This window comes from Homo sapiens, chromosome 15 (genome assembly GCF_000001405.40).
Source record: "Homo sapiens chromosome 15, GRCh38.p14 Primary Assembly".
Classification (NCBI taxonomy): domain Eukaryota; kingdom Metazoa; phylum Chordata; class Mammalia; order Primates; family Hominidae; genus Homo; species Homo sapiens.
In genome coordinates, this window is record NC_000015.10 from 84,411,116 (window position 1) to 84,428,337 (window position 17,222).

Genomic DNA, 17,222 nt, shown 5'->3' on the forward strand with positions numbered 1-17,222 from the left:
TCAGAGGACAGCAGCAAGGCCAAGTGAGAGACTGGCAGAGGTATACAGGTCCCCGTTGGCTGGGGTGAGGAGGGTTTCTGCTCCCTCACCCCCCAGAGCCTCTGGCTTATCACAGGATAAGAGCCAGCTAAGCTCCAGGGGCTTTCCAGGAAAAGTGTCTCTTGGAAAGGGTGTGACCTTTTCATCGGTCCTGACAGCACCCTAGAAATAGCTTGGCCTTTTCCCTCCCCTGAGCTCCACAGAGAACACAGCCAGCAGAAGACACATTCCCTGTCATCCAGAAATGGGTTTGATTCTCAGCTGAGGGACAGCAGGACTGGTAGAGACTGTCAGGCCACACAGCTACCTACAGAGCACCCCCATGCTTGGTCGGGGGTGGGAGGGATGGCAGGGTCTGGCTGTCCACAGGCCGGGCATGACAGTGGGGCGCACTGGAAGTGGCGCACTTTGGAGGGGCAATGTCAGGGGAGAGCTTCCTCTTGTTGGGCCACAAGACTCCACAAGGACAGCACGGTGACTGATTCCCAATGCTAGAGGCGAGGCAATCGGTCATGTGTAGGTGTATGTGTGTGTGTGTGTGTGTGTGTGTGTGTGTGTGTGTATATACACACACATATGTGTGTATATATATATGAGGGTGTGTGTATGTGTGTGTATACATAATTTATTTATTTAGATGGAGTCTTGCTCTGCCACCCAGGCTGGACCTCAGTGGTGCGATCTCGACTCACTGAAACCTCTGCCTCCTGGGTTCAAGCAATTCTCCTGCCTCAGCCTGCCGAGTAGCTGGGACTACAGTCACCTGCCACCACACCGGGCTAATTTTTGTATTTTTAGTAGAGATGAGGTTTCACCATATTGGCCAGGCTGGTCTCAAACTCCTGACCTTGTGATCTGCCTGCCTCGGCCTCCCAAAGTGCTGGGATTACAGGTGTGAGCCACAGCACCCAGCTATTTATAGATATTTATAGAATATGACCTCAACTATTTAAACATATCTGTAAGGGTATAAGTACTTTGATAACAAAGAAGCAATACATACTGATAGAAACTAGCTATCATGTCAACAGTACTTATATTAGGTAGAGAAATTATGTGAGATTTTTATTTTTTTATATTTTACTAATCTTCTCAATAATGGTTGCTTATAAGTTTTATAATCAAGAAAAAAGATTTCTAAAGTTTTTGCAAAATGGAAAGTTATGCTTCTTTATATACTAAAGACAAAAACAAAACTTCCTATTTGAATACCTTTGACTTTTACTGCAGACTTACAGACCCTTGAAAGAAAAGGCAATTCCCTCCCACTAGTTCTGGTGTCATTCTCCCCATCTCTCCCTTCACTTCCACCTTGGTCTTCTTTCTACTTCCCACCTTGGCTAGTGGTCTCCACCCAAAATGCTTGCTTGGCTTAATGGTTAGAATTCAGGGAAAAAGAGATCCCGAATTGCTAATCTAAACTAAGATTATACATGTGGGAAATAATAAAGAGAAACCAGGTAGTAAATAAGATTTGGAGGACTTAAAATACCCAGACTTTAATTCCTCTAAGATTATAGTTATTAATCATGTTTTTATATAATATTATCATTTAACATTTAATTTCTAAATATAATGTTCATGAGGAAAAGAGAAAATAGCTTGGTTTCTTTCCTTACCGAACTGTTGTCCTTAGTATCTTCTAGACGTTCCAGAACTGATGTCAGATTTGGCTCATCAGAGTCCACAAACCATATCGGTGAAGAAGATGAATAGGATTCCTGTTTAACCCAGAGACACCTATGTTAAATGTTTACATACAGACTAACCCAAATATGCAATTAAACCACACCACTAAATGGCAAGATGACCATGGATTTAAACAAAATGTATGGGGGAAAAGGCAACACGTTTAAACCCATGTGAGGAGCTGGACTTCTGAGACAGCCATTCTCCTTGCATAGCACTGTCTGCTGCTACAGCTCATAGAAGTCAACAGTTTTCTTCAACACTGGTAGGCAGCCTCTAAATGGCCCTGATCACCCTCACCTCCTGCCATTCACACCCTTGTAAAATTCCACCCCTCGACCTAGTGACTCACTTCTAACAAAGAGAATACAGCAAAAGTAACATCGCTTCTGAGGTGAGGCTACAAGGAGACTACGATGCCTGCCTTGGTCACCCTTCTCCTGCTCTTTCCATTGCTCCCTCTGATGGAAGCCAGTTGCCATGTGATGAGGTGCCCTATGGAGAGGCCCACGTGACAAGGTATTGTAAAAAGCCTCTGACCAATAGCCATCTAGAAACGGAGGCCCAGTGCAGCAGCCTCTGAGATGAATCCTGCCAACCTGAGCTTGGAGACAGATTCTCTCCCTATCCTGCCTTGGGATGATCACAGCCACCACCAACACCTTCACTGCCTGGTGAGAGGCCAAGCCAGTGAACCCAAGGTAAACTGGACAGAATCCTGACCCACAGAAACTGAGATAATGTTTGTTATTTTAAGCTGCTCAATTTGTTACAGAGCAATAGATAACTAACTCAAACACCATAAAATTCTAATATTTTATTCTATCACACAAACCAAGTAATACCAAGTAAATGCCATTACTATACATATATTTTTGTAACACAATTACATGTGATTTTTTAAAAAAGCTAATGAACTATGCATTATGTGCTTTCACCCACTAACAGACGTTCCCGCTGTTACTTTGTACTGTTCTCTATTATAAATTGGGGAAAAACCATTATTATTATATATTAGTTTCAGAATAACTAGGTTCAAGTCACAGAAAACAATTTTGCACAAACAACTTTAGGCAACACTGCTTTGAAAACTGTAATCTGAGTTAAAGCTGAAGCCACAGAAACCAAATATTTACTGAAGGTTCCTTTTTAAGAAAAGCAAGATGGGCTGGGCACGGTGGCTCGCGCCTCTAATCTCAGCACTTTGGGAGGCCGAGGTGGGCGGATCACGAGGTCAGGAGATCGAGACCGTCCTGGCTAACACGGAGAAACCCCATCTCTACTAAAAAAATACAAAAAAATTAGCTGGGCGCGCTGGCGGGTGCCTGTAGTCCCAGCTACTCAGGAGGCTGAGGCAGGGGAATCACTTGAACCCAGGAGGCAGAGGTTTCAGTGGGCCGAGATGTCCACTGCACTCCAGGCTGGCGATAGAGCAAGACTCCATCTCAAAAAACAAACAAACAAAAAGAAAAACAAGTTGTATTGATGGAGGACATAATTAACAGTATATCTCTTCAATAATGGTTTATTTTACTATTCTCATTCTTCTCATTCCTCTCTTACTGTGTTCCAAATCTCTTTACAGGCTAAAAGAAACTCTTCAGAATTACTCCTATTCTTTTTTTTCTTTTTTGAGACCGAGTTTTCGCTCTTGTTGCCCAGGCTGGAGCGCAGTGGCACGATCTCAGCTCATCACAACCTCCACCTCCCAGGTTCAAGCAATTCTCCTGCCTCAGCCTTCCTGAGTAGCTGGGATTACAGGCATGTGCCATCATGCCCCACTAATTTTGTATTTTTAGTAGAGACGGGGTTTCTCTATGTTGGTCAGGCTGGTCTCGAACCCCTAATCTCAGATGATCCACCCACCTCGGCCTCCCAAAGTGTTGGGATTACAGGCATGAGCCACTGCGCCCAGCCAACCCTATTCTTAAAGAACACCAGTTCCTCAGTATTGCATTTTCTTCTATAAATTCTTCAGCATACACTGAGAATACACCATATGGACTATTTTTACACTTTTAATTTTCGTTTTTTTTTACTTTTGGCTAAGGAAATTTCAATTAGATTTAGGACTTCATTCTGTTAGGTTAGTATTTTCTAGTAAACTTCAGCATAAGCAAAATAAAATACGTGTTGTTGCTCTGGACTGAAACCCCTCAAAACCATATTTTAAAAATTACAAAAAAAAATTAACTGAAATCAAGTTTTTAAAAACCTTGTAGATGAAAAGATATGATATCTAGTACGTCTAAGTACCTATTTCAATGGTTCCCAAAGTGCGGCCCTCAGACCCCCAAGTCCAAACTATTTTGACAGGAATACTAACATGGTGACATTTGCTGTAAGTGTGCAAATACAATGGTGGGTAAAAATGCTGGTACTTTAGCACAAACAAAAGCAGTAACACCAAACTACTAGTAGTCATGGTATTCTTCATTATGCACAGGAAAGGTTTAAAAAGGAAGGGTGGGTGGGACATGGTGGCCTACACCAGTAATCCCAGTGCTTCGGGAGGCTGAGGTAGACGGATCACTTAAGGTCAGGAGTTTGAGACGAGCTTGGCCAACATGGTGAAACCCCATCTCTACTAAAAATACAAAAATTAGCTCGGTGTGGTGGTGCATGCCTGTATTACCAAATACTTAGGAGGCTGAGGCAGGAGAATCACTTGAACCTGGGAGGCAGAGGTTGCCTTGAGCTGAAATTGCACCTATGTAACTCCAGACTGGGCAACAGAGCAAAACTCCATCTCCAAAAATAAAAATAAAAAGGAAGGGCAACAAAAGGTCAGTTTCATTTAAGAATGTCTATGATAAGTTTGGGAATTTTGGCTCATGTCTGTAATTCCAGCACTTTGGAAGGCCCAGGCAGGGGGATCCCTTGAGCCCGGGAGTTCAAGACCTGCCTGGGCAACCTGGTGAAACCTCATCTTTACAAAAAATACAAAAATTAGCTGAACACAGTGGCTGCATGCCTGTAGTCCCAGCGTCTTGGAAGGCTGAGGCAGGAGGATTGACTGAACCCAGAAAGTTGAGGCTGCAGTGAGCTGTGATCACGCTACTGCACTCCAGCCTGGGTGACAGAACAAGGCCCTGTCTCGAAAATTAAAAAAAAAAAAAAAGAATGTCTATGATGAAGCAGTGAATATTTTACTATATCTAAATCATTGAATATATCTTTTTAATATTTCAAGTGATGAAATGGGAAGTATACATGAGCATTCCTACAGGCTGCCTGAGGAAAAACCCTTGAGTGACTAAGTCATGAAGTGAATTAACCACTTTAATGGAATACCATTTTTACTTGAAAGGCTGACTGACAAAAAATGTTATTTTAACTCGCATTTCTGGCAGATATTTTCTCAAAACATGAGATTCTGTCATTTCAAGGAAAACAACAGACAGGCTATAATAAAATTCAATAACAAAATTACTAATAAAATTCAAGCTTTTGAACAAAAAATTAGAATTTTAGAAAACTTATGCCCACCATCGCTTTCCAAAAGTATTCTGATGAGATTGATGGTGGTACTGATGAATGTATTTTGATACTGTACAAATGTATCAACATGTAGAAGATCTTAGTGAACCACTATTTTATAAGTGACCAATGCACGATGTTGTAATATCATGCAAGGGTGGAAGATCCAAAGTTCAAGAAAAACCAAGATTTGATGGAGTATCAAAAAAGAAGCCTAGGCAACATGGCAAAACCCTGTCTCTACAAAAAATACAAAAAGTTAGCCAAGTGTGGTGGTACACACCTGTAGTCCCAGCTACTCTGGAGGCTGAGGTGGGAGGATCACCTTAGTCCCTGGAGACTGAGGCTGCAGTGAGCTGTGATCACACCACTACCTTCCAGCCTGGGCAACAGGGCAAGACCTCATCTCAAAAAAATATATATATCCACAATGATCTAAAATGGTTATCTGTATGAGATTGGCCTTTGTTCACATTTTTTCAAGAAAATATCACACAATAAATTGAATGCAGAAGCAAACTGACATATCAATTTGCTAATGACATATCAAACATCATGCAAATGACATATCAAACATCAAAATAATTTGCAAAAGATGTAAGACTGTACTACTTTGGGTTTAGAAATTTTCTTTTCATAAAAGCATTTATAACAATATGTGGTGAGCTTTTAAACAATATTTTAAATATTTCTGATTTAATTTCTAGTGATAAATACCAATAGATATACCCTACATAAACCAAAGCTCCTTGGGACCTCAATGTATTTTTAAGAGTGTAAAGGAATCCTGACCCCAAAACTTGGAGAACTGCTGCCTTCCCCTCCACTTTCTTCCTTCTCTAGAATTTCTTCCTTGGAAGAAACATCCCTTTGCCATTCTATATTAACTTACATAGTTCCACTGAGGCAAGTTTTGCTACCTCCCTCCCATCTTTCCACCTCTCTCTCAACACAAAACCTGACCAAAGCATTCTACCAGCCCACCCCATTTCCAGTGATTAGCTGTCAGATGGGCTAAGCCAAACAAATCTGGGTTTTCCCTGAGACTAGACCTCTCTTTCTGGGAGAGATGGAATCACAGGGACAAGGTTGGCCACCTTGGGGTAGTGAGAATTCATCCTGCCTAAACAGGGAGAATTCAAACAAGTTTCTAGAAAGCCAAACTACTTTCTAGAAAGTCAAAGATAATTACATTTTTTGCCATGACTGTAAGAATGCCCATTTCATTGCACACTTTCTAACATTTTTACCAATCTGATAAATAAAAGCTGGTACTGAGATGAAAAAAAGGCTGGGCACAGTGGCTCACACCTGTATTCCCAACACTTTGGGAGGCTGAAGTGGGCAAATCACCTGAGGTCAGGAGTTCAAGACCAGCCTGGCCAACATGGTGAAACTCCGTTTCTACTAAAAATACAAAAATTAGCCAGGCATGGTGGCATGCGCCTGTAATCTCAGCTACTCGGGAGGCTGAGGCAGGAGAATTGCTTGAACCCAGGAGGTGGAGGTTGCAGTGAGATCACGCCATTGCACTCCAGCCTGGGTGACAAGAACAAGACTTCATCTCAAAAAAGAAAAAAAAAAAAGAAAAAAAAAGTTCCCATACAATATAATTTCTTCCATCTCTGGAAACAAATTCAGCAATGAGAACTGAAAGTCACCACGTGGAAGGTTTCAAGGATTTACGTCTACCTACTGATGTCTAAAGCATTAGTTAAGTTACAAAAAAATACGCACACACGCGCACGCACACACACACATACCCGTATGTATTCAGTACCAGAAAACATGACTGACTACATGGTAAAGTCATCCAACAGAAAGCACACAATAACTGAAGGCAATGTAGAGGAGTAAGTTATAACATGGATCTACAATACTGTTGAGTGAAAAAGCAGATTACAAACAAATATCTGATTTTTAAGGGAGAGGAAACATATACAAGCACAGGAGAAAAGAGGTGAGCAGATGACTGGAAAGATACAAATTTCTGACAGTGGCACCTTCTGAGTGGTAGAATTACATAGGTAATATTTTCTAGTTTTGCCTAAAAGTTTTCTAAATTTCTTAAAATAAGAAGGTTTTGTTTTCCATATTACAAAATATCCATCACCCCAGGAAATTTAACCTTCGGCACAAACTCTACAACATGTTCAAAGTTTGTTCAGTTGAATATTTAAGAGACAATCTATTTTGAAAGACATTTAAAATGACCAATATTTAAACCTATGCATTAATATTTTTCAATCACATTTTAAATTTTGTAATTTTGATAAGTTTTAGATCCATCTTGAAAAGATAAATTTTCTGTTTGTCTTTAAAATATTACCTACAATATGCCTGTTTTTATACAGTTAATGGTGCTCAAAAATCGCAATATAAATTCAGGCAGTGTTCCTTCTATAGAATGTGTAAGTGCTTCTAATACTGCTCTTTTTCACCAGTTATGAAAACACGGAACAATTATCTAAGCATCTAATTATTCAGGTCCTTTGTTTCTCCTCCATTCTGTTAGTTTTATACTAATTTCAAGGCCTGTGAGGATGAAGTTGTCTGTGACAGCTACCACAAAGGTTACTATAAGCAGACAAATTTCCAGCAAGTTTATCACCACTACCATCCCACCATAAAACTGTCTCAATCAAGGGCAACACAATTCAAGGTTAGTCAAGACAACCTCTTTACCTGTCACTGCTTAAGAAAAGGATTTTTTGGTCTTATTTAGAAATAACTTTATCTATTTTTCTCCATAATTCCACTGAGACCAATGTGTGCCTCTATCTCAAGCACCAGCAAGCAAAACTGCCTGCCAGTATGTTCAGTTTTTGTATCTTTCCAAATGTAGGGCACAGCTATCTTTTGATATCATAATTTTTTGAAAACTGATGCACAAACTTCTTCTTGAAAGTTCAGCCAGGTGCGGTAGCTCACACCTGTAATCCCAGCACTTTGGGAGGCTGAGGCAGGCAGATCACGAGGTCAGGAATTCAAGACCAGCCTGGCCAACATGGTGAAACCTGTCTCTACTAAAGCTACAAAAATTAGCCAGGTGCGGTGGCAGGTGCCTGTAATCCCAGCTACTCAGGAGGCTGAGGCAGGAGAATTGCTTGAACCTGGGCAGCAGAGGTTCCAGTGAGCCAAGATTGCACCACTGTACTCCAGCTTGGGTGATAGAGTGAGACTCCATCTCAAAATAAAAAATAAAAAAAAGAATTTCAGATATACAGCAGTTGTAATTCTTCTGAAGGCTGCTTATGGGACACATTACTTTCATAATTTGCTGTTCAATAAATGTGGGGTGGAGAATAAAGTAAATTGACAGAATTACCATATAAAATAAAATTCTAAGTCCTCTGACAACAAAAACTTACACACACACACACACACACACACACACACACACGCACACACACACAGCTTTCCCTGCTAATCATTTTACAACAACCAAGTAGCTAACCCAGAGCCCACAAAAGCAGAGTCAAAATTCTAACACTTGGTAAAATAAAAATGCACATATATCCCTGTCACCTAAAAAAAAATGCTTACGTATTCAAAGACAGCAATTGTAGTTACTGAGAACATCATTGTAAGCAAACTGAGGCAGAGAAAACAAACGTGCTGATGAGGATTTGAAACACCTAAGCTGCAGAAACCCACTGGATGGTTTCCTAGGTTCCGAGTTGGCATTATCTTTCAGAACGATCTTCTAGAAGAGATCACATAACACTGTTACAAAGGATCTGGAGAAAGGGACCCTGGCTTCATCACTCTGGCTCTCCAGTCATGCTTTACATTTTCACTTCTTACACTCTCTTTCATAGGAAGTCAATTTACAGGCTTCCACCAAGCCCTTAAGAGACGTTTTTGTACTATCCATGACAAGTTCTTGATGTTATGTCTGCACTTCTGACAAATTCTTAGCAGTTAACTTACTAGGCAGTTAAGGTTTTTGTTCAAGCACAATATAGCTAGAATAGGGTCATACATTCAATAAAACAAATATTTACCAAGCATTTATTGAGTGGAAGATAAAAAGCACAAAGCATAATTATAAAACATTCTCCCCTGCCACCATAAAAATTTTTTTAAAGCCTTACAGAATATAGCATAACATGACCAAAGCAAAAATAGTGAGGACTAAAGAGGGGAGGAAGGGGAAATATCAGCATGAATTAAATATGACCCAGAAGAGCCTTGATGGTCAGACACGTAAAGACAAATTGGGTAGGGTTAGGGGGTGGCTGTCAGGGGCACATTCTACAGGGGAAAAACAGCTGATACAGAAGCCTGAAAGGAAAAGCGGGCAGAGCACCTGGACAGGACTCTTACCTGCTGCATCCAGGGTACAATGCGCCTTTCCAGAACACAGCAGCGACCCGGGGTAGAGGGATCGCTCAAACAGCACCAGAGGCTGCATTCCAACTTTTCCTCCATCAACGAGTCCGTTTTCATTGTTAGTTTCTCCTTAAACACGATTGGCTGAACATGCGGGAACAAGGAAAACCTGACTGAAGAACGAGGCATTTAAGCTTAAGGGCCTTGGATCTGGGCGCGGTGGCTCAGGCCTGTAATCCCAGAACTCTGGGAGGCAGAGATGGGTCATTTGAGGTCAGGAGTTCGAGACCAGCCTGGCCAACATGATGAAACCCCATCTCTACTAAACAACACAAAACTTAGCCAGGCGTGGTGGCGGGCGCCCGTAATCCCAGCTACTCGGGAGGCTGAGGCAGGAGAATCGCTTGAACCCACAGACTGTCAAGAGATGGAGGCTGCAGTATGCCGAGATCGCTCCACTGCACTCCAGCCTGGGCGACAGAGTGAGACTCCATCTCAAGAAGCGCCTGCCACCATGCCCGGCTAATTTTTGTATTTTTAGTAGAGACAGGGTTTTACCATGTTGGCCAGGCTGGTCTAGAACTCCTGACCTCAGGAGATCCAGCTGCCTCAGTCTCCCATAGTGCTGGGATTACAGGAATGAGCACTGCGCCCGGCCAAAAAACCGAAAATCTTAAAGGCCTTTCCCCTTCCCTCACTGGGCTCAAACAACAGCGGGAGCCGCCCTGCCACGCCCCGTCGCGGTCCAGGGGAGCAGGCTAGCTGACTGAGGGCGATCATGGGCCCCAAAAGGTCTGCGGGCGACGCGGGCTCCCACCTCAGGGCGCAGCGACTGGGGCGAGAGGTGCCGGCAGCCCCCAAGCCAGCCCCGCGGCAAGGAGCCAGAGAGACGCGCCCTCCCCCTCCTCCCACGCAAGCCTCACACAGCGGGGCGGGCCAGACGCGGGAGAAAGGGGCGCGCTCGCCCCGCCTGGGGAACCGGGGCCTCTCCCGGGCAGGCTCCCCTTTGTCTCGGGACTCTGGGCGCCTCCTCTCCGCCCTCGCCCTGCCCCGTGAGGCCGCCACTGGGCGCCTCACCGTGATGTTGCAGTGGAGCGTGAGCTGCGGCGGCGGCTCCTGGTTCTTGTGGAAGATAGAGGCCAACAACCTCAGCTTGGCCTTGAACCCTCACACGGACATTTTACTCTCACCTCTGGCGGGAGGGGCGCGGAAGGTGAGCCCGTCGGGAGCCGCTGTCACGGCCGCAACCACCCGCGGGACCTCTCGGCGGCGCTCTCCCAGCTCCGCCTCTCCCTGATGCCTCAACTCTAGTCGGAGTAGGGCTGGAAGATGGCAAGGGGCACCGAGGCCTCTGCGGGGAGCTGTGTGGCGGCCTGGGCGGCTGCTCCCCTTGTAACAGACTCCACCGACAGGAGACGCTGCTCCTGTCAAGCCGCAGCTTAAAAGGGCAACAGCACCACAGTCCCCGCTACCGCCTGGGAAAGGGCTGCCCCTACCCCGCTCCCGTCCCTCTCGCCCCTCACACCCGTCGCCCCTCACCCCTCAACCCGCGCGCCCCCTGCGCACCCGTTTCGGCGGCTGCAGGAGTCCAGAGCATGCGCGCGCTTCCGGCTGCCCCCTCCTCGCCTTGACCCAGCACTGCTGGACCCATCTGGTCCGTTCTTCACACTCGCGGACTGGAGGCTCCGGGCAGCACAACCACCAACTCGTGTGTGTGTTGGGGTGGGGGTGGGGGGCAGAAAACCACCAACTCGTGTGTGTGTGTGTGTGTGTGTGTGTGTGTGTGTGTGTGTGTGTGTGTCTCCCAAGGGAACAGCACTGCTGAGTTCAGGCTATCAGCTCATGGACTGTCAGCAAAATACAGTCACAAGAAGGCTATGTGCTGTTTTGTCTCTTGCAGTGACGTCATGTTGCTCATGTTTTATGTTTTTCAGAGTTCATTAGTTTCTGTTTGCTCTCAGTTAATATCCAGCTCAATAGATTGTGTAAGTAGAATACCCCCAAACTGAAAGTCACCTACATAAAATATAGTGAAAAATATGTCACCCACTTAAACTATAGTTGAAAATATGTACTCATTAGTTTTGTGTAGCCAACACTGGATAATGGGTAAGGGGAAAGGATCCCAGGGCTAGACTGCCTGGGTTCAAGTTCCGATTTCCTGCTGGCTGTGAAATACTTGACAGCGTTCAGCCTCTGTTTCTTTTCTTTTTTTTTTTTTTTTTTTTAGCTTAATCCCAAATATGATAGTAAGTCTCAGTTTCTTGATCTGAAAAACAGAAATTATTCAATGACAGTCTATGTGAAAACTTTAAAGTTTTCAAAGCCACTATCTAGCTTAGGAAAGTCCTCAGCTTTAGGGGTTAAAGTTTTTAAAACCACTGCCTGGTTCAGGAAAGCCCTCAGCTGTAGCCATTATTAGCTATGATTATTATTGTGGTGGCTACACATACATTAATGAGGCAGGAAAATGCTCAAGGATAACAAGCAAGTATCCAGATTATCTCATCAGACCAAGACAGATGCATATGCATGCATGATCATGTTTTAGCTCAGAGCCATTTGTCTAAAAGGCTCTTGAACTCAGAGGCCCAGGAGTATCAACTTTGCTTTGCAGTGGAGCCATCGCTTTTGTTAATCAATGAAATTGACATAATGCTCTTCTTTTTTTTTTCCTTTTTAGCACCAACCATGTGCCTAGAGCTAACTGTGTTAAGAAGAGCATGCTTCAAGTGGCTGGAGTGAGCAATTCAACTTGTGGAGGAATGAGAAGTGACAGTGTTGAGACAAGCAACATAAAACCCCAGGGTAAGGTAGAAATCACTGAAAGTCAGGCAAAGGAACTGGCGTCCAGTAATGAGTCAGGCTTTGCCAGCCTCTGGCCCTACAGATGGCTCTTTGCAGAGGAAAAAATTAAGCCAGGCCCGAGGGCACAGATCCTAAGGGAATGCTGGCAGCTCTAGGCTGTCTATGAGAGTCCAGAGATGCTGCTTCACCCTGGGGCTTTAGGCAAGTCCCTTTCCCTCCCAGAGCCTCAGCATCCCTTCTAGCAAATGACGTTCTGCCTTTCTCCTAGGATGGCTGTGGGGATCAAGGGAGACAGTGGCCATAGGGATACTATGTTAACTGCAGATGCGGCTGTAGGAGCACTTTGCTAACTTCCAGCGTGAGTTCAGACCCTTCAGGCTATTTGGCACCCAGATCTATGGTGAGGTGTGACATATGGGATGTAAAGTTTGATGCCTGCTCCGACTCCAGTCTTGCTAACACACACGAAACCTTTGGTAAATCATGACCCTGCCTTGGGGAAAAGGGCAGTCTGGGAGAGCTTCTTCAAGGCAGCCTGGCTTCAATGCAGTCTGGGGCATGACTGAGGTAGGCATACATGGTGAGGAACTGGAGGGTAACTGGGTAAAGAGCTGCAGTGTGGGCAGAGGTGTAGTGTGGGTCACATCGCGGATAGCCACTGGCCAAAGCAGGGAACAGAGACAGAATGAGGAAGAGCTCTGTGGGGAGGGTGGGGCACAGGGTGGAGAACCTTCAAAGTCCAAAGAGTATGACTTGTTGGGATTCAACGCTGTAGGCAGTAGGGAGCCATGGAAGGCTCTGAGGTGGAGAAATGACAGCCGGACATTAGTGAGCAAGCCCTGTCTCCGTGAGCAGCATGGGTGGTCCTCTGAGCACGCCAGGCACGAGTGTGCAGGGAGCTGGTGCAAATGCCTCTGTGTGCGGGTGAGCATCTGTGTTGTGACTCTGCCCACCCATGTGCTTCAGTGTGCCGTGTGGCTGCACGCCCCAGATCCATGTGGCACGTGCCGGCCGGTGAGGGTGCTGGGCATTGGGAGGTGGCGGGGAGGGCGACGTATGCGTGTTGTTTGTGGGCATGTGTGTTAGCGTGTGCATGTGGGCCGTGGGGCCTCACAGCATGTGTGTGCACACTCCGGCATGTGCGTGTGTGTGTCCCCCACCCCCAGGCCTGCCCCACCCATGCATGTGACCTGCCATGTGATTTGAAGCTGTCTTTCAGAATCACTATCAGTGGCCCCTGAGGAGCGTCAGCCATGGTAGGTACATGCCTCACTGCCTGCTGCATGAATGGTCTGCCTGCCCCGCTGCCCCAGCTCCACACAGGGGGCATACCTGGAGCCTCAGAGCCAGGCTCCCTGCCCCTCCCTTCTGGAGCTGCAGACTTGCTCTTTCCTCTTTCTGTCCTTGTGCTGCTGGCTGTCTCACTTTGCTCCCTGTGAGCCACGGGACTCAGTGCCACTGCTGAAGGTCTCCATGGCTGAGCCTGGGGGCTCTTACAACAGGCTCCATGCCCAAGGTGGCAGATGTGGAACCATCAGAGAGGGCACAGAGCTCATGGTTTATGGTGTAGGGGCTGGGAGCTTGGAGGGGGTTGTGTGGGGGGCTGGACTCAGGCGGCCAGAGGCCTGGGCACATCATCCTGGGCACGCCGTACCTGTCATGCAGTCTGAGTCATGCTGCCAGGGCAGGTATCCAGCTCCCAGCCTGGGAGTGCCAAGAGCCAAATCCACTGCAGATTAGGGGTGATAGTCACGGTCCCACGTCCTCTATCTGTCAGCAATCCAGTGGTGATCTAGGATAAAAGCCTGAGAGTCCTATACACGCGGTCATCCCACAACACACTTCATAGGCCATGGAAGGACACACAGCCCCCTTCCCTCCCTCCCAGGTACCATGATAGCTGCTAGCGTGCGACTGAAGGCAGGGTCCCTGGCCCCTGCTGAAGCACTACTGCTGGCCAGCAGGCTCACGCACCTTGGCCTGTTGCTTCTAGGGGTCGCCTGTGATATTCAGCCAATAGTGCTGCTGGCCCAGCTGAGCTCCACCTAGAGAGCTCACTTCCCTTTCCTGCCGCGGAGTCTCCCTCTTCTGCTTTTCCCAGCAGGAAGGGCCCAGCCTCACCTATGTAACCTGCAGCCCCCCGCCAACCAGTTGAGGCTGCCCTGTTAGACTTAGAAGTCTATGGCCAATGGCATCTGGCTACCTGCCCTCCCTGCCTTCCCCAGGGTCCCTCAGAGGACCCTGGGCTTTCTGATGGCCCAGAGGGGCCTCTGGCATTCACTCCAGCCAGCCATCCCGTATAGCTCCACCATTTTGGTTCAATCAGTGTTCCTTCTCTATCAGGTCTGGTGGCTGTTGGATGGGGCTCTCCAAGCAAGAGGTGGCCCTGGGCCGTGAGTTGGAAGACAGGGTGACCAGAGAGGAGAGAAGCCCGAGGGGGCTGAGCATTCATCTGAACTATGGGTGGACTGCCTGGGTGCCATGAAAGAGGCCAGCGTGTGTGGGGTGGGGAGGGCCGCCGCAGTCCCCAGGCACTACCTATGAAGCTCCGGCTTCTCCCTCCATCTTCCTCCCCTTTCCCTTCCAGCCCCTCTTTTCCAGGAACCTTGCCATGCCCACACCTACGCCCTCCCCTCCCCGGCCCTCCACAGCTGCTGCAGCGCACCCATACTCTGCACTTGCCTCACCAGCTCTGGCTTTTCTCTAACCCGTTTTCTCTCTGCTTTCTCTCCAACTGCCAGCTGATTGGGTCAGGCAAGTCCATCCCATCCAGGGAGCCCCAGGCCCCACTTCGACCTCTAAACAGATTCCTCCTCTTCTCAGAGACCTCCCTTTCCAAGCCTGCCTGGGTGGGTGTCCTGTGACTTGACAGTGGCTCCCCCAGCCCCAAAGCCAGCCCCCTTCTTCTGTGACTTAGTCTGTTGTAGTGGTGAGCTGACACGTCCAGGTTTGACCGTTGCTGAAACTTGTGCCCCCTCTGTGGTATGCCCCTGCCCTGTTCTATAAATAGCTATAAATTCTCTCTCACACACACACACACACACACACATATATACATATATATACGTGGCCAACTGCCTCGCCTCTAGCACTGGGAATCAGTCCCCGTGCTGTGCTTGTGGAGTCTTATAGCCCAGCAAGAGGAAGCTGTCTCCTGACATCGCCCCTCCAAAGTGCACCACCTCCAGTGAGCTTCCGGGACATGCACGGCCTGTGGACAGCCAGCCCCCGCCATCCCTCCCGCCCTTCTGGCCAAGCATGGCGGTGCTGTGCAGGCAGCTGTGTGGCCTGACAGTCTCTACCAGTCCTGCTGTCCCTCGGCTGAGAAACCCATTTCTGGATGACAGAGAATGTGTCCTCTGCTGGCTGTGTTCTCTATGGAGCTCAGGGGAGGGAAAAGGCCAAGCCATTTTTAGGGTGCTGTTGGGAGCAGTGAAAAGGTCACACCCTTTTCAAGGGACACTTTTCCTGGAAAGTCCCTGGAGCTTAGCTGGCTCTTACCCTGTGAAGCCGGCTCTGGCCACTAGGGGACAGGGCCCTGAACTCAGCCTGGAGGGAACCTGCGGGGCAGCCGGCACTCTGGAGGGACAGACAGGCCACCCGGTGCAGACAGGAGAGGGAGGCAGGGGGACAGAACGGAAGACACCTGGGGTGGATGGAAGTCAGTGCCCTTGGGCACTGGTATCTGTCTTCCCTGCCACAGCTAGATCAGGCTTCTCAACCAGTTGGCTGTCAGGGCCAGAGTGTACTCCGTAGGCGCCATGGCAGTCCCCATGAAATCCACCAGGTGTCACCAGGCAGCATACAGGTAACAGGCCTGGAAGGTCCCCAACAGCCCAGCTGGACATGCTGAGACACTCTGGGGCTCCTCATTCAGTGGGACAAACTGCAGGACCCAGTGAGGGAAATGGGAACATACCAGGCCGAGCAGTATGGCTAAATCCATTTATTCCAAAATCAAAAGCAAAAAACAAAAAACAAAAAACAGGAGTCCCATCACCAGGCAGCCATGACCCCATCCCCGCCTGCTTCCTCACTCCTATGCTAGCAATAAATAAGTTTCCCAGCCGCGAATAATTATAAGAACCTCTTCCTCATATGCCAGCTGCAACCTCCGCTAGGTACGATACAGAATGTTACACAGCTACAGTATGTACACGGGGGAAGGGGGGCCACCCCCAGCAGCCTGTGCCCTGGCCTGGTCTACAGTTAACTCCACTGTCCCGCCTCAGCTGCCTCTCTGAGTAAGAAGATGGGAGCCCCCCTGAGGGAAAAGTTGCTTTGGTGAGAGTAAGAAGGCCGTCAGACCTCCTCCAAACAAACCAACTCCACCAACCTCTGGCTCTTAAATAACAAACATCATCATCCAGAAATGTAAGGACTCAGCCTTGGTCAAGGTGGTAAAGGGTCTGTTTGTCTCCCTCCATTAGACAGGGGTCTTGTCTTGCTACCCTAATGGTAAAGGGCTGACTGGGGAGGGGTTGTAGGGACATGGTGGGGGTGAAGACTCCAGACCCACTTCTCCAGGCTTATGCTGACAGGGGCCTGCTTTTATTTATTTTTATTTTTATCCCATGACTTTTTTTAAATCCTGTAACTAATTTTTCATAACTTTTTAAAATAACTTTTCATAAAACTTTTTTTTTACTTTTTTTCCACAACTTTTTTTTGCCACTTTTCCACAGTATTTTTTTATCCTGTAACTTTTTCATCCCACAACTTTAATTCCTGTTAACTTTTTTAGTTTGTGTTCTTTTAATAAACACACTTACATAGTTACAATTTTGTAAGAATAAAAACCGATTACCTCATGCCAAGCATGCCGAGAATTTGCAGAGTCTCAATACCCAATACTATAGTTTTCAAGACAC

At 46.9% G+C, this 17,222-nt stretch overlaps 1 long non-coding RNA gene and 2 pseudogenes across 1 annotated transcript; 2 read left to right on the forward strand and 1 right to left on the reverse strand.

The window, feature by feature from the left end:
• Positions 1,653-9,660, reverse strand: UBE2Q2P11 (UBE2Q2 pseudogene 11; annotated as a pseudogene).
• On the forward strand, positions 11,404-14,767 carry LOC103171574 (uncharacterized). Its single transcript, NR_120379.1, has 4 exons — positions 11,404-11,528; positions 12,227-12,351; positions 12,620-13,607; positions 14,695-14,767. It is a non-coding gene; the product is annotated as an uncharacterized LOC103171574 (long non-coding RNA).
• Positions 14,768-14,840: 73 nt separating this feature from the next.
• DNM1P44 (dynamin 1 pseudogene 44) lies at positions 14,841-15,705 on the forward strand (annotated as a pseudogene).